This window comes from Homo sapiens, chromosome 20 (genome assembly GCF_000001405.40).
Source record: "Homo sapiens chromosome 20, GRCh38.p14 Primary Assembly".
Lineage (NCBI taxonomy): Eukaryota > Metazoa > Chordata > Mammalia > Primates > Hominidae > Homo > Homo sapiens.
The window spans coordinates 38,065,249-38,089,642 of record NC_000020.11 but is presented as its reverse complement, the minus strand read 5'-3'; the positions used below and the strand labels follow the sequence as shown (position 1 = coordinate 38,089,642).

The 24,394-nt window shown below is 42.4% G+C and overlaps 1 protein-coding gene and 1 long non-coding RNA gene across 4 annotated transcripts in view, besides 1 other annotated feature; both read right to left on the bottom strand.

Moving 5' to 3' along the window:
• The window catches only part of RPRD1B (regulation of nuclear pre-mRNA domain containing 1B), a 58,619-nt gene that overhangs the window by 2,722 nt on the left and 31,503 nt on the right, over positions 1-24,394 (bottom strand). For all 3 annotated transcript variants that reach the window (NM_021215.4, XM_047440346.1, XM_047440347.1), the window contains one exon: positions 23,387-23,562. In NM_021215.4, the coding sequence (NP_067038.1) occupies positions 23,387-23,562 (176 nt within the window). The remainder of the gene's footprint in view (positions 1-23,386; positions 23,563-24,394) is intronic.
• LOC124904897 (uncharacterized) lies at positions 1,223-4,752 on the bottom strand. Its single transcript, XR_007067578.1, has 4 exons — positions 3,997-4,752; positions 2,797-2,946; positions 1,632-1,780; positions 1,223-1,534 (listed from the first exon to the last, which is right to left on the bottom strand). It is a non-coding gene; the product is annotated as an uncharacterized LOC124904897 (long non-coding RNA).
• Positions 16,169-16,278: an enhancer, noted in NCBI's record as "active region_17855". NCBI's record gives its function as "activates an Ori minimal core promoter by ATAC-STARR-seq in GM12878 lymphoblastoid cells {active_cell/tissue: GM12878}" and the evidence as "EXISTENCE:reporter gene assay evidence [ECO:0000049][PMID:35858748]".

The window sequence follows — 24,394 nt, the reverse complement described above, 5'->3', positions numbered from 1 at the left end:
GTCCTCGTGTTCTTCCTTGTCCCCACCAGCCTGCCCACCCTGTTCAGCTATATCACAAAGCTAGGGCTTCAAATGCTCAAAAGGCAAAACTTTCTATCAAAAAAGGAACGCAGAGTGCCATATTGGCAACAGTGAATTAAATGGTATTCAATTTAGGGCTTGAGATTTGGAAGTAGAAAGAAATAACACTTGGTATTTGCATTCTCTTTTTGTTGGTTCTCAAAAGTTTCAAAATGCTTTATAAAATAAAACAGACACCTGAGCCTCACAATTTCTTTGCGGACTCCACCTAGATATGGCAAGAAAAAAAACACTGAAGTTATACTTCCTATGTTAAAGCTTGGAGATTAACCTAAATTTATCATGTTTTGCAAACAAGCACTATAGAAGCTCAAAATACCCCACTGCTACTCCCTGTGACCAGGGCCTCCTCATTCCATAACTGAGTCACTGCAGTAAGTCCCTGGTTAGGCCTCCTGACCCCTAGGGCTCCTAAAATGCCACCAGACTTCTCTCCCAAAAGCCCAGCTTTCATGAAACCACTCCCTTGAGAAAGTGAGGCACGGCACCCCACTAGCTCCATGATCTGGTCCTTCAGAGCAGAGTTCAAGGTCTTACAAAATCAGCCCCTGCCTCACAACCTCCTAACCCTCTTTGTCTGTGTGGACCATTTTTTCAGGATTCCCCGCAAGCCTGGAGGGGGTCTCTCTCTTCTCCTAGCCCTAGCAAAGCCTGGCCTCCACTCCTCTGCTCCTTGGACTATCTGGACTCCACCTCTCTAGGAAAATCCTTGCTCTGCATCCAGGAGACGACTCCGCATCTCCTCCTGCTCCAGAGCTCTCCCTCACACAGGGTGTGTACCTGAGCCCCTAGCAAGCTGCTCTATGCTCTCTCCATACATGTGAGACTTCTATGTTCCTCTAGAATATGAATCCCCTAATGATAGGAATGGGGCATATTTTTTTTCTTTCCTCAGCTCCCGGAAAAAGGTACTCTTGATAAATCTGCCAAGATATATAGAAAACAACCCTAGGCCATGTGAAGTCTGGGGCTGTTGGCCCCCTTGGGGCTTAGTTTTTGTCCTCTCAGTGTCTCTGCAAGGGTAAGTAGGTCCCTGACGCTGGGCCCCTGCTGACTTAGAAAGCCCTTCCTGCAGGAATGTAACAAGAAGCCCTGGGCTGAGATGCAGAGACCTAGGCTTGGTCCTGGTTCTGCCTCTAACCTGCTGTGTGACCGTGGATGTGTTCCCTTCTTCCATATCTGAAAGTGAGGGAACTGGACCATAACACTTCTTTTCAAGTTCTAAATTCCTTGATACCAGATCCCTGATGCACACCTGAAGAGGCAGAAAGTAGAAGCTAGAGAATGTCTGGGAAGAATAATGAGGCAGGAAAAAGGTCAAATGGAGAATACTTAGTTCAAGTTGTAAAGACAAAAGTCCAAGCAAGGAGTGAGAGGAGGGAACCAGGCATATCCTCTCCCCATTACTGCAGGCAATCAGTCTCCCACCCGCAATGAGAGCTCCTCACACAGTCTACAAAGGAAGAGAAAAGGGTAGAGAGTGAGCTCTCCTAGCAGCCCATTTCTTTTCTTTGTAAACTTACCACAACTAAAATTAAACAATGACTTACGTAAATGATTAGCAATGACTCCCACATTTAACTAGTAAGCTCCTGGAGGCCAGGACCAGACCCATCTGCTTCCCCCAGCATCCACCAGGCTCCGCAGTGTCCAGCAAACAGTAGGCACCCAGCACATGTGCCGAATGAATGAGCCATATCTAAAACATAACATCAGGTAAAAGCATACCACATGAAGTAGCTCCTGAGACTCAGACTTTGGTTAACAGTCACCTTTCACGTTCCTGAAGTTGAAAACTATTTTCAAATTTGAGGATCTGAACCCCCTTTCTCCCACAAGTACTTTTCTTCTTTGGCTGTTTATACTTCAAGGGAAATTAATATAAAGGATGAAGGCAACTAATTCTCTATTTCTGGACACGGATTCATCTAATAAACTTCTCCTGAATGGAAGGTATAAAAAGGGTAAAATAACAAAACAACTACAGAACACGGACTTCCTGCCCCCTGCCTGAATTCTCTGACCAAAGCTGACAAATCAAAGCCACCTCGACTCAGAACCAACCACTCTTGGCAACTAGGGAGCCCTTCAGTTGAAGGAGTCCCTCAAGAACAATTTGAAAACCACCAAGTCTCTAGAAGCTGAGCTGGGATCAGAATCCAAGACTCCTTACTCTTGGGTTATCATCAGACCAACGTGGCAAGTTCATTGAAGTTAAAATGGAAGGCACTTTGCTCTAATTAGACACCACCTTAAGTTCAACTAACTCTCTCCTAGGCAATTTCTTAAAAATCCCAGTTGTGGCCAGGCGCAGTGGCTCATGCCTATAATCCCAGCACTTTGGGAGGCCGAGGCAGGCAGATCACCTGAGGTCAGGAGTTCAAGACCAGCCTGGGCAACATGGTGCAACTCCATCTCTACTAAGAAATACAAAAGTTAGCTGGGCAGGGTGGTGGGTGCCTGTTAATCGCAGCTACTCAGGGGGCTGAGGCAGGAGAATTGCTTGAACCCGGCGGGGCAGAGGTTGTGGTGAGCTGAGATTGTGTCACTGCACTCCAGCCTGGGCAACAGAGTGAAATTCCGTGTCAAAAAAATAAACAAAAAAACAAAAAAAACCCCAAAAAACCAAACAACAGTTGTTTCTGTTTGGAAGGGGGTATAGGGTGGGGTACGGGGGATTCCATCATGCTTAGGCTATTATATTCTGGACATTACCGAAGAAACTCATTTAACTAAAAAGAAATGTGTTCCACTCTTCAGGCCACTCTGGAAGTGGACGGATCCTGCCCAGAGCTCTTGATGCCACTGGGTGACTCTTCTCGCAGGGACGCCTATTGTAAGAGCAGGCGTCAGAGGAAGGAATCACTAGAGAAAGAAAGAGGGAGAGTGAGACTGTCACTGAAAAGGATTAATAAACATCAAGGCTGGCCTGGGCATGGTGGCTCACGCCTTTAATCCCAATGCTTTCAGAGGCTGAGGCAGACAGACTGCTTGAGGCCAGGAGTTCGAGACCAGCCTGGGAAATAGAGACCCTGTCTCCACAAAAAAATGAAAAACACAAAACACTGAGGCTGGTAAAAAGAAAAGATCTGTAGGCTAAGAGGTTTAAATGTATTGGCAAGGATAACCGGGTATATACTCTGAAAAACCAAATACAGGCAGCAATTGCCTTTAAAACTGTTAAAACATGTACCTGCTTAACTGGGACAGTCAAATGACCCAGATTAATTTCCTGAAGAGAGGCAAGCAGGCTCGAATTCATGGCAAGCTCTGATTAGGTTAAACTGAAGCTATAGTAATTTTTATAGTCCACTAAATAGACTCAAGTAGTAACTACTGTGATTTCCCACTCCCCATCCCTGCTTTTAAAAACAGATTCAGGCTTTCCAAACAAAGTCATCTGTAAACCTTGCCATGGACCAACAGAAGAAATTAACAGTGACTCCAGGCTAGACAAGGTGGTTCACGCCTGTAATCCCAACACTTTGGGAGGCTGAGGCAGGTGGATCACTTGTGCCCGAACATGGCAAAACCCCATCTACAAAAAATGCAAAATTAGCCAAGCGTGGTGGCACATGCCTATAGTTCCAGCTACTCAGGAGGCTGAGGTGGGAAGATTGCTTGAGCCCAGGAGGTGGAGACTGCAGTGAGCCAAGATCACACCACTGCACTCCAGCCTGGGTGAGAGTGAGACCCTGTCTCAAAAAAAAAAAAAAAAAAAAGACTGACTCCAAACAAAACTCCCCCAAATACAACTCCAGCCTTCACCTGCCTCCAAATTCTCTGGTTCTTAAGCTCTCTCAGTTGGGTCTTGCAGACCCTCACTAGCTGACTTTCCAGGTTATTCTCTTTGGGTCTGGAGAGATGAAGGAGAAAGGTCTCAGGAAAATCCAAGAATCTCGTGTCTCAACTTACCAGCCTGTCTTCTCACACAAGTGTAGTTCACGAGCTCTGCTGCCACGGGGCTCCTCAGCTACTCCTGCTCTCAGAAGAAATCCGGGCCTCTTTTCCATATCCCATAAAAACCAACTCCAACGTGATGAGACCCACTCAGATTCTTCCACCTTGTCTAAGTGTGCTGCATCCCATAATCTCTTTAGTACACCAAGTACCACTCAGGTAGAAAAATGATGTGCCCAGGTGGTCACATGCTTCTTGTTTCAGACACTTTACTCAGGACTATACTTTAGTCCTGTATGTAACACAGGACTAAACCTTTCATCCAACACCCACGCTCCCCTGCCTAGAACTGGAATTCAAGAGCTCCAGTCCTGTGCCATTTACAGCTGCAGGACGAGCCTGCTGCAGCGTTCTTGCCCATCAGTCTCCTCTCCCCACCAGCGCACTCTTCTCAACCACAGCGCACAACGCTCTCTCCAGCACTCTCATCTTCAGAGGGTGCCTTTCCTCCACGACCAATCTTATGCAAGAGAAGACATGGCAAAACCCAAGCAGTCTGGTTGCTATTCCTCTCCAGCGCACGCATTATTTATACTGAGATGTGGGGGGCTGAGGTGGGCCTTCCATTCAGCGGCAAGTACCTACTGCGGCAAACCTGCCCTAGCCCAGAAGAGCCGTGGGGGGCCCCGAATAGGGAAGAATCATATCTGACTTGCTGCAGCAAACCTGTGTCAGGATCCTCAAGAAGGGGAGGTGGAGGAGGTGGCAGGCACCTTCGAGAAACTGCCTGGGTTTATTTGACTGCCAAGAAATGTTTACAATGTAGAGGGTAAGGCCCAATGTGTAGTTCTGAGATAAAGCCTAGGATTTATGCTCTTGGCAAAGCTTTGGAATCTTGCCTCACAGACTCTCTAAACTTACAGGAGAAAATGTGTCTATAACATTTCCCTGCTTCCTGTGGATCCAGCTGACACCGTGAACTCCACCCATCACGGAGCACCCAGACAATTTGCTGAAGAGAGCAGGGCTTACACATTCTTTGCCTTTTTTGGTTAGAGAAGTAAGCCAGACCTGACACACTGCAGATGAGCTCTGGGATAAGTGGGCTAGAAATGACAGGGGCTGGCATTGCAATGACCTTTCCACAGGAATTTCATTTTCAAAACAAACAAAACTATAAGCGTTTCCTCTAGCAACACATCTAAGAAACAACGATCAAAATGTAAACATTATTAAACCTATTTTCCTTCTTGCTAAGTAGAGGACTCCTGGAAATCTCCATCATCTTGCCCTGTTGTGCTACAGGACATATGGTATATCAAAATCACCCACTGCTCGGCTACCCCCAATTAAGAGTCATAAAGGGTTATCGTGCACGAAGCAGTTTACGAAGGCCCCTCTTTTAAAGGTGACCTGCCACACTGAATTTAAGTCAAAGGACTGCTTCATAGTATGGAGGTTGAGAAAGCCAAGCCCAAAGGGGAAGCTGACCCACACCCCACCAATATTTAACACACCCGCCAAGCCCCCTCATCCTGCCAGGAGGCCTACCCCTTGCTACTAAAGCCACAGGACCTACACTTGAGAAGCACAGCCTCTTAAACCACAATTTCATTCCCTCATTATGTTTCTGGAAAATACAATATATGAATATTTGGATTGAAAATAAGAGTGCCATTTTAAAATTTTCTTCAAAGATCCCATGTGGGAAAAAAAAACCATCACTGACCTGCACCTCTCCCCCAGCCAGCTCCACGCTCCCATATGACCTAGTGGCAGCTGTGACGTTTCGAAATGACACATTCTGGGGTGTCACAGCACGGCGGGAGCTGCTGAGTAAGACACTGGGTAAGATACAAAGAAGAGAAGAAATTGTGGCTCCAATCCCAATACTCGGGGCCTCTCAGCTCCACTATCAAAACCCGTAATAAAGGTACACACAAAGTATTTCCCAAAAGGAAAAACGACAAAATGCCTATAACTGGAGGAATGTTCTTGGAGCAGTTCGGCCATCCACGGGAAACTCCAAATGGGAGCGAGCTTCTTAAACCTGAAATTGTACCACAGAGCATTTTCAGGGCATTGCTTTCTCCCCAGAGGCTCCTCTACACAAAAGGTGATAAGGGAGCTTCTACTGGCACAACAAAACCCCTGATCTCATAGGGACATGCGGAAGCAAGGGGAGAATGAAAAGTCAGTGTCTATACTAACTAAAAAAAACTAAAAAAGGAAAATACACTTTAGGACTGGACAATTTTCAAGCCTTAATATAATCATAAAGCTAAATATTTTCAATTTAACAGATGCTCATAAAATGCTTTAAAAAGATACAGATTAATAAATGGACCTGGATCCTTCAAAAATCCTTACATTTATGGAATGGGGTCCCTCACTACATAAAACCAGTAAAACCAAAATACTAAAGTATAAGACAAACTATTTAGTTTTTTTTTTAAAGTAAACCATCAAAAATGTATGCTTTGCACAAGTTAACAAAGACCCCACAAACTAGCTTCTTTAAGGACTATTTTAATGGAAAGCCAGATTATTGATTTTTGTGCAAACAAACATCAAAGGTACAGACAAAGGTTTCTCATTTTAAGCCAAATACTGGTAAAGTCAAGCATTCCTGGAGGACAGCTGAGAAACAAAGGGTAGAAAGGAAAAAGACAAACTAACAGACAAATTTTTTTGTGTGTGTGCTTGTGTATTTGGTTGTATCATGTAAAATTCTTTTAAGCAATGTTTATTGTAGTTTTTAGTGCTGGCAGATCTGCCCAGGGTAAGACAGTCTGTAGGTTACTTACTACACTGGAATACAGCTCTCTCTATAATAAAAAAAAATTTCAATTCCTTTCCATTAGCAAACAAACAATAAGGTTATGTTTCTTAGCACCTCCAAATGACTGGGAGTATATCATATCTTTTCTACTGGAGGGAGATGGCTGTGGCAGAAGTCAGAAAATACAAGTTCAGGCCGGGCGTGGTGGCTCACGCCTGTAATCCCAGCACTTTGGGAGGCCAAGGCAGGCGGATCACGAGGTCAGGAGACCGAGACCATCCTGGCTAACACAGTGAAACCCCGTCTCTATTAAAAATACAAAAAATTAGCCAGGCATGGTAGCAGGTGCCTTGTAGTCCCAGCTGCTCGGGAGGCTGAGGCAGGAGAATGGTGTGAATCTGGGAGGCGGGGCTTGCACTGAGCCGAGATGGCGCCACTCTACTCCAGCCTGGGGGACGGAGCAAGACTCCGTCTCAAAAACAAAAACAAAAACAAAACAACAACAAAAAAAGAAAATACAAGTTCAACCTCTATGCACACAAACTAGAAAACCTAGAAGACATGGATAAATTCCTAGAAACACGGAATCTCCCGAGATTGAACCAGGAAGGAATTGAAACCCTGGACAGACCTATTAACGAGTTCCAAAATTGAATCAGTAATTTAAAAACCTACCAACCAAAAAAAGCCCTGGACCAGATGGATTCAGAGCCAAAATCTACCAGACATATAAAGAAGAGCTGGTACCAATCCTACTACTGAAAGTATTCCCAAAAAAATCAAGAAGGAGGGAGTCCTCCCTAACTCATTCTATGAAGCCAGCATCATTCTGATACCAAAACCTGGCAGACACAATGAAGAAAGAAAACTTCAGGCCAATATCCGTGATGAACACAGATGTAAAAATAAATGAAATACTAGCACACCAAATCCAGCAGCACATCAAAAAGCTAATCCACCATGATCAAGTAGGCTTTATTTGTTGAATCAAGGTTGGTTCAGCATATGCAAAATAACAAATGTGATCCATCACATAAACAGAACTAAAAACAAAAACTTCATCATCATTTCAAATTTCAACAGATGCAGAAAAGGCTTTCGATACAATTCAACATCCCTTCATGTTAAGAGTCCTCAACAAACTAGGCATCGAAGGAACATACCTCAAAATAATAAGAGCCATCTATGACAAACCCACAGCAAACATCATACTCAACAGGCAAAAGCTGGAAGCATTTCCCTTGAGAGCCAGAATAAGACAAGGATGCCCACTCTTGCCACCCCCGTTCAACACAGTACTGGAAGTCCTAGCCAGAGCAATCAAGCAAGAGAAAGAAATAAAAGGCATCCAAATAGGAAGAGAGGAAGTCAAACTATCTCTCGTTGCAGGCTATATGATTCCATAGCTAGAAAACCCCATAATGTCTACCCAAAGGCTCCTAGTTCTGATAACTTCAGCAAAGCTTCAGGACACAAAATCAATATACAAAAATCAGTAGCATTTCTATAGACCAATAATGTCCAAGCTGACAGCCCAATCAAGAACACAATTTCATTCACAAAAGCCACAAAAAGAATAAAATACAGCTAATCAGGGAGGTGAAAAATCTCGACAACAAGAATTACAAAACACTGCTCAAAGAAGTCAGAGACAACATAAACAAATGGAAAAACTTCTATGCTCATGGATAGGAAAAATCAATATTGTTGAAATGGCCATACTACCCAAAGCAATGTACAGATTCAATGCTATTCCTATCAAACTACCAAAGACATTCTTCACAGAATTAGGAAAAACTATTTTTGCATGCACAGCATCTACTAACAAAAACAAAACAAAGAGAAAACAATATTCTAAAATTGATTCTGAGCCAATAAAAAGCCCAAATAGCCAAAGCAATCCTAAGCAAAAAGAACAAAGCCCAGGGCATCACATTACCCAACTTCAAACTATACTATAAGGCTACAGTAACTAAAACAGCATGGAAATGGTACAAAAACAGATACAAAGACCAATGGAACAGGGTAGAGAACTCAGAAATAAAGCTGTACACTGGCTGGGCACGGTGGCTCATGCCTATAATCCCAGCACTTTGGGAGGCTGAGGCAGGTGGAGCACCTGAGGTAAGGAGTTCGAGACCAGGCTGGCCAACATGGGGAAACCCTATCTCTACTAAAAATACAAAATAAGCCAGGCGTGGTGACGCATGCCTATAATCCCAGCTACCCGGAAGGCTGAGGCAGGAGAACTGCTCAAATCTGGGAGGCGGAGGTTGCAGCAAGCCGAGATCGTGCCACTGCACTCCAGCCTGGGAGACAAAGAGAGACTCAAGACTCAAAAAAATAAATAAATAAATAAAGCTGTACACCTACAAGAATCTGATCTTTGACAAAGCTGATGATAACAAGCAATGGGGAAAGTATTCTCTATTCAATAAATGGTGCTGGGATAGCTGGCTATCCATATGCAGAAGATTAAAACTGGACCCATTCCTTTTACCATATATAAAAACCAACTCAAAGTGGATCAAGACTTAATGTAAAACCTCCAACTACAAAGACCCTAGGAGAAAACCTAGGAAATACCATGCCGGACACCGGCCCTGGCAAAGACTCCAAAAGTAACTGCAACAAAAACAAACTGAAAAGTAAAATCTAATTAAACTAAAGAGCTTCTACACAGCAAAAGAAACTATCAACAGAGCAAAAAGACAACTTACAGAATGGGAGAAAATATTTGCAAACTATGCCACCATCAAAGGCCTAATATCTACAATCTATGAGGAACTTAAGTCAATAAGCAAGTAACAAAAAACCCCATTAAAAATAGGTAAAGGACACAAACTGACACTTTTCAAAAGAAGACATACATGCAGCCAACAAGCATATTTAAAAAGCTCAGTATCACTAATCATTAGAGAAATGCAAATCAAAACCACAATGAGATACCATCTCATACCAATCAGAATGGCTATTAAAGAGTCAAGAAATAACAGATGCTGGGGAGGTTGTGGGGAAAAAGGAACACTTATAAAGGGCTAGTGAGAATGTAAATTAGTTCAGCTACTGTGGAAAGCAGTCTGGAGATTTCTCAAAGAACTTAAAACAGAACAACCATTCAACCCAGCAATCCCAATACTGGGTATATAACCAAAGGAATATAAATTATTCTACCATAAAGACACATGCATGCCTAAGTTCATCACAGCACTATTCACAATAGCAAAGACATGGAATCAACCTAGATGCCCATCCACAGTAGACTGGATAAAGAAAATGAGTACATATATACCATGGAATACTATGCAGCCATAAAAAAGAATGAGATCACGTCCTCTGCAGCAACATGGATGAGGCAAACCAAATACCGCATGTTCTCACTTATAAGTTGGGAGCTAAACATTGAGAACACATGAACTCAAAGAAGGGAAAAATAAGACACCCGGGACTACTTGAGGGTGGAGGATGGGAGGAGGGTGAGAACTGAAAAACTACCTATCAGGTACAATGCCAATTACCTGGATGACAAAATTATCTGTACGCCAAATACCTGTGACACACAATGTACCCATGTTAACAAACCTGAACCCCCTGAATAAAATAAATAAAAGTTGGAAAGAAAAAAAAAAAAAGAAAATCCAAGTTCCTATCCTACACTTCCATGTGCCTAGGATATAACATGTGACAAACTCACTGGGCTCCTATGTATGAGATGGGAATGAAAACAACGCCTATGGCACGGGGGAAGCTTGGGTGAGAACAGGCACTTGCTAAACTGTTCCATTTGAATCGACAGATCTGATGGAGAAAGAACACTCACCCCTCCCATATTCTATTATTTTATGAGCAATACTTAATCTTCCTGATTTATAATATGTCAAGAAAAGACATGCAGAGTTGAAGAAAAAGAATTATTAATGGGATACAAGATCCTTTCTCCCAGAAACCATTTGATTATATCCTTAAAATTTAGCACATTTACTAGAAGCTGCCTTGAGAAAAGGAAAGGATCTTTGACCGAGGGCACCTCTTTTTCCTTAAAGGTCTACCTATAATATTGGAAAACAAAAAAAAATCACAGAATTTTTAAACTTGGTGGTACCATAGTCCAGTCAGTCCATCAAGCTATAGGCTTAGTGAGAAGAAGTCCATCGAGCAACATCCTCAGACTGGAAAGAGTCCCCATCAAAGGCAGACACCGACCTTGTCTAGAGATGAACCAAGTGACATCGGTACTTGCCACTCTGAGATCAGGACAGTGGGCCAAGTATCAGGAGTGGGTTGGACATGCCTGAGTGACAATACAGACAGAACTTTATGGTCTGGCAATAATCCACAAACAGACTGACAACCTATGTGGTGCTCTGAAGGAAAAAGCTAGGGAGCTAAGACAGTGTATGGGGCTGGGGGGTTGGGGTGGGGTCTGAGGAAAGACTGCCCTGAGAAAATACTGTTTGACATGAGATACAAATGGTGAACACAGGAATTAACTAGGTAAGTATAACTGATGGAAAGTAAACAAGGGGAAGTGTGTCCTGGGCAGAGAGTGGGAACAGCATATGTAAAGCCTGAGATCAAAGAAGGCCAAGTGCAGACAAAATGCCATGGGACACAACAAGAGATGTGGCTGAGGAAGTCAGCAGGGGCCAAGTCATAGGGCACAGGAGGGGGCCAGGCCAGCAGCTGGGCCCATAGTCTTTTTTTTTTTTTTTTGAGACAGCCTGCACTCTGTCGCCCAGGCTGAAGTGCAGTGGCACGATCATGGCTCATTGCAGCCTTCACCTCCTGGGCTCAAGTGATCCTCCTGCCTCAGCTTCCCCAGTAGCTGGGCATGAACCACGATGCCCAGCTAATTTTTTAATTTTTGATAGAGACGGGGTTTTGCCATGTAGCTCAGGATGGTCTCAAACTCTTGGACTCAAGTGATCCGCCTGCCTCAGCCTCCCAAAGTGCTGGGATTACAGGTGTGAACCACCACACCTGGCCACTGGGCCCATATTCGAAGAACTAGGAATAATGAGAAGCTACTTAAATGTTTAAACAGGGGAATGACATGCTCAGAGCTGCATTCTGAACACATCATAGGGCTGCCATGTGAAGAATGGATTATAGGGCCTAAGAGCAGATGTAGATGATCAGTCATGAGGCTACTGCAAGGATCCAGGGGGGACAGATGATGACAGAGTGGACTAAGGTGATGGAAGTGGAGACAAAGACGCAGAGAAGGGAGGCAGATTCATGAAAAATTGAGAGGGAGCAAAAACCACACTGGCGTAGCACCTACTCAGCTATGGAAGATGGTGGTGGGAGGTCAACCTGGCAGAGGCATAGCAGAGGAACTGAGGGAGAGGCTGTGACAAGGAGGCCAAAGCAACAGATTTGGGAGCTGAAAAAAATCAGGAGAAACACTGGATGAGGCCTAGTGTCTGATTTTGATGGATGGCACTGCCACTCTCCAAGCCAAGGAAAGAGAAGGAAAGGAGAGGTGAGAAGGAAGGAGACAGTCTGTCGCAGCCATACTGTCTGAGGTGTCTGTGGAAATGAGATACATGAGTCTGAAGTACATGGAAGAGGTCTGACCTAGAGATCTAGAGGTAGGCCATCAACATCCAGTTGGTAACTGAAGCCAGCCTAAGTATAAAGCACTCAAGGAAAAGGTCCAGGCCTGGTGCAGTGGCTCATGTCTGTAATCCCAGCGCTTTGGGAGGCTGAGGCGGGTGGATCTCCTGAGGTCATGAGTTCAAGACTCGCCTGGTCAACATGGTGAAACCCCGTCTCTACTAAAAATACAAAAATTAGCTGGGTGTGGTGGTGGGTGCCTGTAATCCCAACTACTCAGGAGGCTGAGGCAGAAGAATTGCTTGAAGTCAGGAGGTGGGAGGTTGCAGTGAGTCCAGATCGCACCACTGCACTACAGCCTGGGCAACAGCGAGACTCCATCTCAAAAAAAAAAAAAAAAAAAAAAAAAAAAAAGGTCCAGAATGAGAAAAGGCTAAAGGAATGGCAACATTTACAATAAAGGCATGGAGAAAAGCTTATTGAAGGATGAAAAAGCAGAAGAACCAGCAGAGGGTGGTACACAGAAACCAGAAATGCAAATACATTGTAATACAGTAATATTAAATGCTGCAGACAGGGCCAAAAAGAGAAAGGGAGCCAAGAGGCAGAGACTAAGAAGTACCTTTTGGGTTTTGAGATTAGACCACTGGGGGCAGGGGTGGGGGGAAGGGGGGAAATTCTGAAGACAGCCACTTGGGTGGAATGTAGACATGCATGCCAAGCTGCAACAGGCTGAGAAGCAGAGGCAGCAAGGGAAGTGGATATGGTGGTAGTTATAAAGGGAGGGTGGTGCAGAGGGTATGCTCATGTGAATGTGATGATTTCTTTTAAACACTGGAGAGACAAAGCATGCTACATGCTGAGGACCTTCAGCTAGTTTACTGGAGACTTCTCATGTGGGCAGGAAAATAAATTGGCCCTAAAGGTCCCATGTGACGAGGGAAGGTGGAAGCTAACAACTTCAGATTAGTTAAGGTGTTGGAATCTGTTGTCCCAGGAAGGTAAAGTGTTACTTTATCAATGAAAAGTCACATCAAAGATAAAACGCTGGGAGGACCACTGGCTTCAATGGAAAAAGCCAAAAAGAACCTGAAATATGCAAAGCAGATCATCATCACTGCACCATAATTGGGGTAAATGGTATCTTAAAGGGAACAATTCCTACTGAGTCTATGCCCCACAGAACAGACACACTGTGAGCAAAAGGAAAGGACTGGGAAAAGGACATCATGAGTAAAAGTAGGATTTGTCCATTCATAATTACTGTCCAAACCCCAATAATTCTCAGAAAGGCTGCTGGTAAATTTTTGTTGAGTTGAAGTTTGCGAAGTTATTGTGCTTGAAATTCTCAAAGTAGCTACTGGCAGAATTAGGCAAAGAGAGCTAATCATACTTCTTCCTACAGATGTTTAAAGATAAAGGACCTCAATAAGGAAAAAAACAAATAAGGAGGCTTGCACAGCCATCATGACAGCTGGCTAGTACCATCCTCTTCACATAAAGCATGCCATATCTTTGGGGCTCATGGCTTTCATCTGCAAAGGTTTCACTTGACTCCTGATTATAACCAGAATACTTTGCCCTGATCTCAGAAAATGACTCTTTCTGATCTATTTCAAGTCTAACATTTTAGAGACAGAAAAACAAAGTCAGAGATTAACTTCCAAGATTGCAAAGTATGCCACAATCCAATTTTAACTTTCTTCAGAATCCCAATTTTAAGTGGGAGTAGAAGGCCCACCTTAACAGTAGTAAGAACATTCATAAAGACTAAAATAGAACCTTGCTCAAAATAACTTGCACCCACTAGGTCAAACAGGCAGCTCAAATTTCTGCAATCTGAACCTTGCTCTCAATATTATGCTCACTCAAGTCAATGTTATAGTAGAAGTATGTGCTATTTTCACACAGCTATCTCAAATGTAAACAAGATCATTTAAAAGCCAGAAGAGAGCTCCATTAGTCTAATTAAACTATTCTGTGTTTACTCCTTCATAAAACAAAAGACTAATCCTTAACTTGTATAGAGGTTTATACAAAATAAGCTCAATGAAGTCCTAGACTGGTTAAGATGCTTTGGAAAAGACAAGAACTCCTACAGCAGGAACGCATTCTGGTGGCAGAGACCGTGAAATGTATATGACCTTCAGTATACTTAAAAGACAAGCAGACATCTGCACATATACATAGAACCACTTCTAGAAATCTACAGGAAGAAAATAATCCAAACACTGAAAGTTAGCCTAAAGCTAAGAGACAGAGACAGAAACATACAAGTGCTCAATACAAATAATCATTGACTATCCAACCACAGGTATTCAAGCAATCATTTACAATGTTTATAAAGTTTTTATTTACAAGGAAAAATAATCATGTTAAGAAAAAAGCATGACAGAAAATTATCTGCAAGTTATCATTCAGTTTAATTTTAAACTAAGAGGAAAAGGAAATACGCAAAAATTAAAAATAGTTATCTCTGGGTAATGAGACTAATTTTATTCTTTATACTTATTTGCTAAGTTTCCTCTGATGTATTACTTTTACAATCAAAAAAAGAAAACAAAAACAAAAACAAAAACCCTGAGTACTAGTTGAACCAGAGTGAATGTTCTGGCAGGCAGGAGTAATAAGAGGCCCAGGTGCTGTTTTAACTTCATATTATATGCATTCCATAAATATGAAAAATTAGTGCTACATATACCAGCTGAAACTCAGTGGCACTGTTCCATCAAGCAGGGGTTACACTGCCCACAGAAGTTGGGCTACAAATATGAAAACGGTACTATGGCTAAAGGCATGAATTCTTGCTGGGAAAGCCTTAAAACCGTGTCACTTTTTCAATGTAAAGTCTCAAAGTCTCAAATGTTGGCAAATCATGTTCTTAAGTCACTAAGTATGTGAAGTACATTATAATGTGGCATTATTTTCCTGGAGTGAAAAATAAGTATCATAGGTTTCACATTGTAATAAAGAAACACACACACACCCAACAGATAAAAGCTCCAGCTATAAACTGGGCCTAAGCAGTAGGGTCAGTAGACTAAAATGAATAAAAGAAATCCAAGGAACTCCAAATCACTCACAGAAGCCCACACATTAACTCAATAAAAGTCCTCACATATTGGAGGGAAACTGGCGGAAAAAAAGAAAATAAAAGAAAAGTAAAAAGAAAGAAAACTCCCACATCAAAGTAGGGGATGGAAAGGCAAGGGAGAGCAGTAAGCACACTACGGCCTGCTTCGTGGGAAGGTACTGAGTGCAAGGCCCCGTAATTACTTGGCAACAGAATGACCTGTTTTAACAACTATTCTAACAACCTGGGTGCTGACAGAGCTGCCAGCCTAGGGAGGACAGACTTGAATACTACAGAAGGGCAGTGAGTTTAGAGGACTGAGAGGAGGGGGCCGGCACTAGGCAGGGCCTCTCAGCTCCCAGGAGAACACAGTGGATGATCACTGTAGTTAGGAGTCAGAAGATCCAGGTACTGGTCCTCACTGGCTTCCTCTGTGACCCTGAAGTGTTCACATAAACCCAAGGGCTCTTACCTAAAATGACAATTAGATCACCGGCTCCCATCTGTCCTTACCATGATAGGACACTGAGATACTGGCTTTGATCATCATAGGAAAGACGAATTTACTCCAAAGTTGACAAAAAAGGAGCTCTCTATCTCCCCCTACTGCCTGGCCTAATATTGAAACAAAAGCTTCTAACCATCTGCACCCTGCAGGGAGGTGCTGCCAAAAACAACAATCTGCCATCATTTTGGTTGAGCACCCCTTCAACTGTAGCCAAAGAATTTCTCAAGTTGTTATAACCACAATCAAACAGAAATATGAAGAGTCATAAGGCAATGTTGGATTCTGAACCATTTCCCCCTTCCCAGCTGTGTTGTCTGAAGTCAGAGGCTCTACTCCTGAGTAGTCATTACAGCCAAGGGGGAGGTGCCAAGCGAGGAGAAACACCAGCAGCTTTAAGTTCATGAGCCAATTTCTCCCCTCCTATCAGAGCAAGAGCGTGAGCAGGGGTACAGCGAGGCAGGTACTTAGAACCTTGGTGGCAGAGTAGGTTCTTTCACACTTAGAATGCTTTCATGCAATCATTTTATGACCCCACATAAAATGTCATTTCTCTACAACAAGATTCTTGGGAACTGTTTAAATGATTAAACTTTGGCTACTATTCTGTGTAAGATGTCTTCCTGCTGTTGATGTTGCAGAATCAAAATTCTGAAATCAAAACAAAAGTACAAATCTGATGAAGTTACCAGATGTCTGCCTTGGACTCTATGCTGGTCTGCAGCTACCTCTCTCTCTAGGTTTCTTCACCAATTCAGAAGTCTGATTATATGATCTCTAAGGTTCTGTCCAGCTCAATAATCCTGCTAATCACTTTACTTAGATATCCAGGCCTCTATGTGTCACTTTACTTTGTAAAGCTGCTGTTGTGACTGTGCCCTGGTGACTCCATTGAGTCCATACACAAAATACTCATATCTTCTAGAGGTGGGGGTTAACATTATTGAAAGGTGATACCACTGCCCTCCATCTGTGGTCCCAAAACCTAGACAGGGCCTTTATAATATCAAATGCATCAGTAAATGACACTCTCCTAGAGTGCTTTTTAAAATTCTGCAGCAGAAATTGAAGACTTAAATAAATGTGAAGACATCCCCTGTTCATGAGCTGAAACACTTAAGACTGCTAAAATCGCAATACTCCCCAAAGTGACCCGCAGACTCAATGCATTCCCTAGTAAAACTTCAATTACCTTTTTTGCAGAAATGGAAAAGGTGATTGTTAAATTCATAGGGAATTGCAAGCGATCCTAAATAGCCAAAACAATACTGAAAAAGAACTCTGAGGACTCATACTTACTGATTTTAAAACTTACTACAAAACTACAGTGATGGAGATAGTGTGGTATGAGCATAGGATAGACATATACATTAATGGAATAGAATTGAGAATCCAGAAATAAACCAATACATCTGTGGCCAATTGATTTTTGACAAGGGTGCTGGGCATTCAGGTGGAGGAAAAGAGTAGTCTCTTCAACAAATGGTGCTGGGACAAATGGATATCTACAGGCAAAAGAATGAAGTTGGTCCCCCCCTACATCACACCACATACAAAAACTAACTCAAAACAGATTAAGAACGTAAATTTAAGACATAAAATTATAAAACTTCTAGAAGAAAACACAGAAAAAAATTGTCATGACCTGGGATTGGCAACAGATTATTACATGTGACACCAAAAGCATGAGCAACAACCACAAAAATAGATAAATTGGAACTCATAAAAATAAAAAACTTTTGCACATCAAAGGATATTACCTAGAAAGTGAAAAGACAACTTATAGGAGAAAATAGTTGCAAATCATTTATGTGATAAAGGTATATTATCCACAATATATAAAGAACTTTTACAACTCAAAAAAAGCAAATAACCCAATTTGAAAATGGGCAAAGGAATTGAACACACATTTCTCCAAAGATAAACAGCCGACAAGCATACTGAAAGATGATCAGTATCGTTAGTAATTAGCAAAATGCAAATCAAAATCACAATGAGATAAACCTGCACATGTAGGTTGTCGAAAATAAAGAGACAATAACAAATGTTGATGAGGATGTGGAGAAACTGGAACCCACGCACATTGCTAGTGGGGATGTAAAATGATGTAGCTGCTGTGGAAAACAGTCTGATGGTTCCTCAAAATGTTACATAGAATTACCATATGACCCAGCAATTCCACTCCTAGATTTATACATAACCAAGAGAAATGAAAAGATATGGCCACACAAAAACCTCCACATGACTGTTTATAGCAACACTATTCATAAGAGCCAAAAGGTGGCAACAACTCAAATGTCCATAGACAGGTTATAAACTGTGTCACATCCATACAACAGATTAGTGTTCTACCATAAAAGAGATGAAGTACTGATATATGCTACAACATGGGATGAATCTTGAAAACATCGTGCCGAAAGAAGCCAGACACAATTATGTTTTGGAACTTGATACAATACTGTGAACGTACTAAATGCCACCAAAATGTGTGCACTTTGAAGTGCATGGTTAATTTACGTTATATGAATTTCACCTCAACTAAAACAATAAATCTGCAGCTTGGAACAAATTTCTCAAGAGCTCTTCCCTGTGTGGCATATCATCTTTGTGTGTGTGCACCATGTGGCATGTGGGTCAACACAGGACTATCTGCTTTCAGTTCTAGATCGCTGACAGTCAGACACCATGATCTGAATAAAATTCACAGTTAAGGCCAGGCATGGAGGCGCATGCCTGTAATTCCAACACTTTGGGAGGCCAAGGCAGGTGGATCACCTGAGATCAGGAGTTCGAGACCAGCCTGCCCAACATGGCAAAACCCCATCTCTACTAAAAATACAAAAATTAGCTGGGTGTGGTGGCATGCGCCTGTAGTCCCAGCTACTCGGGAGGCTGAGGCACGAGAATCGCTTGAACCCGGGAGGCAGTGAGCTCAGATTGCTCTACTGCACTCTAGCCCTGGGCAACAGAGCAAGAGTCTGTCTCAAAAAAAAAAAAAAAAAAATCACAGTTAAGAAGGGAAAACTGCAGGTTCCTGACCTTTTTTCTTTCCTTAATACTTGTACAAATAGGTTTCTTTCTCACACACACACTCTTCCACATGCACTGATCATGCTAACAGAACATGTCTGTATCATGCTTTATTCACGCTGACAAGACAGGAACCCTATCCAACCCACTCACGCTATGTCTTATGAGCTTTGAGCAGACATCTGGGAGTAATGTAGTCACCTCTGTCAACCACAAACAAAGCTTCTCTTTGCTCTGGAAGTGAAGCTGGAAGGCTTTTCTGGTATCTTTGGCCTTTGCCTTTCTGAATGGGCTTTCTTCTATACCCTCCACATTCTCTAACCTCCTCTTTGGGCTGCCATTTGTGCTTCCTTCCACGTGCCTTCTCCATTTCTAGGTTTTCTCATGTTCATGACAAAAACATTACCCACAGATTTTCAGCAGCATTCCTTCCACCCTTGCCTGGTGTTTAAGGGCCAACATCATAGGCCAAAGTCAATCATGACACCCTGAAGCAAAAGTCAAAAACAAACAAACAAAAAAAGATGATTATCTCAGAATAAAGCATAATTCTACTTAAAGGAAAAAAGAAAAGTAGTACAAAGGAGAAAACCTACAGAAACTTCTAAAAATGGTTACCTTTCCGTACTAACATATTCTTTACAACCAATCATTAAATCAGATTTGTTAAGCCACTTTTAATGCAACCTTAAAAAAAAACCCTTTTCTCTATAGAAAAAGGTTACATCAAGTGATGGATTTCACAGAACAAGTATTTACTGAGGAACAAATATGTTCCTGGCACTGTGAGAGCACTCAAAGAGTATACAGTCTAGCAAACTTTGGGAGACCTGCTGAAGGCATTACAGTTTCAGAAACTGTCCATGATTTGATAACTCTCACAATTTTAATAAGCATCTGATCAAATTATTATTAGCATCTTCATTTTTTTCTTGGTCTATTTCAAGGTAGACACAAGTGAGAATATTTTCCTTACTGACAACCTATCTTGAATTCTACCCTAACCCCTTGTTTGCTGCTATTTCCCCCTGACTAGAGCATAAGCCCTTTGAGGGGAGAAGTGCATCGTGCCCATCTTTGTACATCTGGCTGGCACAGGCTTTGCTGACTCCCTGAATGAATACGTAGCTTCTTAAAGAGCACAGACCTTAATCTCCCACTGGTGGTCTGCAGCACCTCCTTCCCACATCTGACTTTGTCTTTCTTCAGATACCTGTCTGGTCCAGTCTAACTGCTCCCCATTTATAAACATGCTTCTCTTCTTCAACTGCTAGTTCCTTTTACAAAAAGGTTTTATTGCCTGACAGGAAGTTTGGACTTACCTTAAACCACAATCAGAACCGCCAAATGCCTCCTTAATCTACATTATGTACGATCAAGTGGTTTGGTTTTATGTTCACCTGTGTTTTTTATACCAGAATATGATTTCCTCGAGGGAAGAAACACAATCTCCTACTTTGAGCCGTAATTCCCTCTCCTACATCCTAGGCTCTGAATCATCACACGCCCTATCCTGACATGCAGGAGCCACCGACATAAAATTCCCAAGTGAAAGAGAAAAAGATGCTTATTACATAAAGCAAGATACAAAGTTAAAAAGGAAAGCACAAAACCTAAGTATATTAGAGCTTTGGGATGAAAACAGACTCGCAAGCAAATAACTACTTCTCCAAAGAGTTCTGAGAATTTCATCTATGTATATCCTGAAGGCAATGAAAGGATTAAAAAATAAAATATTTAATTAGCATTCTGATTTGGAAGTTTTAAAACGGACTGGCTGTGTTACAAAAATGAATGTTAAAAAAGTGGGTAAACTTTATGTACTGCCCCATCACGCAGAGAGACTTTTGGACAATCTGAAGGAATTCACAGTATTCACGCATCTTTCAAGGGGCATACATTTATCAAGTTCGGCCACCACCATAGGGATGTGATGGGACAGGACCAGTCTATTACAGAATGTGAGAGAAAAATCTTAGGTTCAGGAGAGCAGACTGCCTAAATTTTTAGCAAGCGTGGATAAAGAAAAGAACTAAAACCATCTCTCAAATCTTATATTGTGAAGCGGCCAGATCACTTGACGTCAGGAGTTCAAGACCAGCCTGGCCAATATGGTGAAACTCTGTCTCTGCTAAAAACAAAAAAAATTAGCCGGGCGTGGTAGTACATGCCTATAATCTATAATCCCAGCTACTCAGGAGGCTGAGACGGGGGATTGGTTGAGCCTGGGAGGTGGAGGCTGCAGTGAGCTGAGATCACGTCACTGCACTCCAACCTGAGTGACAGAGCGAGACTCCATCTCAGAAAAAAACCTTATACTGTATCTAGTCATTTGCTTTCTTTAATGCAGCAAATCGGCTCTATTTTTTACAATAAATGGTTCTGCTCATGTGCCTCGGAGACATGGTTTGAGATAAGAACCTTCAGTTCAGACTCTGTACGTTGGTTCCAGTGGTGGGGCCTTTCTGTTCCGCTTCTTCAGCAATGGAATGCCAGCCCCATTCCACTGAATGAACCGCGCAGAGCAACGCAGACTGGAAAGTTACAGAACGCATCCAAAGCTCTAATCTGTTTCTCCACCTTAATGCCCTCTCGTGGCGTCCAGCAAACCACTAGTTCTACAAAAACCAGAATGATTCCCCAACAATATACAGAGCAGAGTGCAACTGTGGGGAGGGAAAACAGAACAAAGAGTTAACCAGCTCTACCAACCCGATCTCCTCAAAGACTCTGTCCTCTATGGTTGCTTGCCACGTTCTACCCAACAACAGCTGCTCATGATAATCAATGTCTGACAGATCAGAGAAAGCCCTTAATGTGTCGCCAAGGGGCAGTTCAACAGATGGCATGGTGACTTACAACCAGAATCATTAATTACACTCTCTTATTAGTCCCGGGGCACAGTGCTGAAAATGCTTCCTCAGTGAAAGATGAGCATTTCAGATAAATGACCGTCTGGTACTGCCTGTAAAACTCCCTTTAGGATCTCTGGTCAGTGCCGATGTCTAAATCTAAGCTGTAGGATTTTTACAGCCCTTTCCCATCTTCCACATTCAAGCAGGCTACGAATGTGAAGTTCCTGCTACCACTACGCAACACAGTTCCCAGAATCACTGCAGGTAAGGATACGGTAAAAAGTGCCTGCCACTCATTTCCCCTCAAGTCAGATGACCATGCTGAAAGGCAAATACAATGATCTCAGCCTCAGAGATAGCTCAATGTTCCCTCCTTCTGTGCCAGAGCACGTTTCCTGAGCATGGAGGTGACATGGCTCTCCCTGTCCCTTGTCTACTCTGAGTGGGATTTAAGAAGTATTTCTTGAAATACAACATGACTGGCTCTCTAACTCAGAAGTGTCCTCCTTCACAAAACCACTGGCTGCAACTCTTTTCCATATCTCTTAAAAAAAGAAGAGCAGACATTCCTGAAAAGGAAGTGCAGCAGCCCGGGGCAGCAAAGTTCCCAAAAATCCACACTGCTGGCTCTGTTATCCCACGGGAGCAAGTACTGAGGGTAAACTACCATGTACTTAATTACGAAGCCAAACAAGTGTATGGTGAGGAAATGTTTCTGAACTCCCTCCCCAAGGTCACTCAGACTAATGTCCTCAACCCAGGGTAGAAATGAGGTCTTTTACAGTTTGAGAACTGTGCTATATAAATACTACTGTGACATTTAAGAGCTAATTACAGATAGATCTTGGAGGCAGACAACTTCTTGGCCGCAGCATGGATAAAGTCAGAAATAAACCTCCAAACGGCTGGGCGCGGTGGCTCACACCTGTAATCCCAGCACTTTGGGAGGCTGAGGTGGGCAGATCATGAGGTCAGGAGATCAAGACTATCCTGGCTAACATGGTGAAACCCCGTCCCTACTAAAAATACAAAAAATTAGCCAGGCGTGGTGGTGGACGCCTGTAGTTCCAGCTACTTGGGAGGCTGAGGCAGGAGAATGGCGTGAACCTGGGAGGCAGAGCTTGCAGTGAGCCGAGATCGCACCGCTGCACTCCAGCCTGGGCGACGGAGCGAGACTGCGTCTCAAAAAAAAAAAGAAATAAACCTCCAAATGACTTGAAAGAAACATTTTTCAGCACTTCCCAAATACTACCAAACATATTCTTTGGTTTTCACTGATTTGCTATCCTTTTTGTACCTCAATTCGTAATTTTTTTAAAAACATGAGTTCAAACGAAAGCAATATTAAGATCCTAAGGCTGTGATTAAGAGTTCACTGTTTGTTTCCTACAATCCAGTTTGTTCTGTCCTGGACATATAAGAACATGACTTCAATTTTTAACTGGGCTCAAATAATTACAGTATCTGATGGATGTTCAGAATTCACATCATGAATTTTTAAACGATAAAAATGTTGTTAATTAAAGCATAATAAAAACCTCCTAATGTGGGCTACAGGAAGGGAAACGTGGGCAGTCTGGGTCTGCCTTCAATGCACTCACCTCTAGTTTTTTCTCCTTCTCCGACAAAACATCTTTCTGATTCTGGGTATACTCCACCAACATCCGAGCCAGCTGGCGACGGTCCTCCAGTTCTGCTGCCAGGCGCCCGTTATATTCTGCTAGTAACAGACATGCTTCATCTACTGTTTTTGAAAGACGTTCAGCTGCCTCTTTGTCTAAGTACAAATGAGACCAAAAAATAGAGAAAATATACAAATCACACAGGTATGACTACAAACATTTCTGGGGGAGGTTAACGGTTTCTCTCCCAATATACAGAGTCTGAGAATAAGCCAGCACCTGTGGACAAACAATGAGTTGATTAAGCAAGAAATCCAAAGGCATTCACTCTGTCAACAAGACAGGACACTACTCAATTACCTGAAGTGAGGAAGCTGTACATGGGGGGAATCTGGCAAAGGCTTTCTAAATGCCTGTTCCTGCAAAAGCTCTCCTGACAAAACAAGCATAAAGAGATATTGAAGATCACCTGTGAAAAAATCGTTCCTTGTCTCTGAGAATTGCAAGTGCTTTCATTTATATTACGGTTGGCCCCTATATCTGTGGGTTCTGTATCTGTGGATTCAACCAACCATGAATGGAAAATACTCAGACCAAAAAACCCCACAAACCAATAAAAATAACAATTAAAAACCCAATTTTAAAAATACAGAATAACAACTATTTACATAGCATTTACATTGCATTAGCTATGATAAGTAATCTAGAGAGTATTTAAAGTATATGGGAAGATGTTTGTTGGTTATAGACAAATCCGACACCATTTAAGGGCCTTGAGCAACCTTGGATTTTGGTATCCTCAGAAGGTCTTGGAACCAAACCCCCATGGATATGGAGGGACCACTATATTTCATTAAGTAGTCTTTTTACTTTCCACTGGAATAAAAAATAGCATGCACTTATTTATTGGGTGTGGGAACTAAGACCCCCTCCCCGCCAGAAAAAAAACTACATGACAGGTTTCTATATGCAGTGAGCTGAGATGCT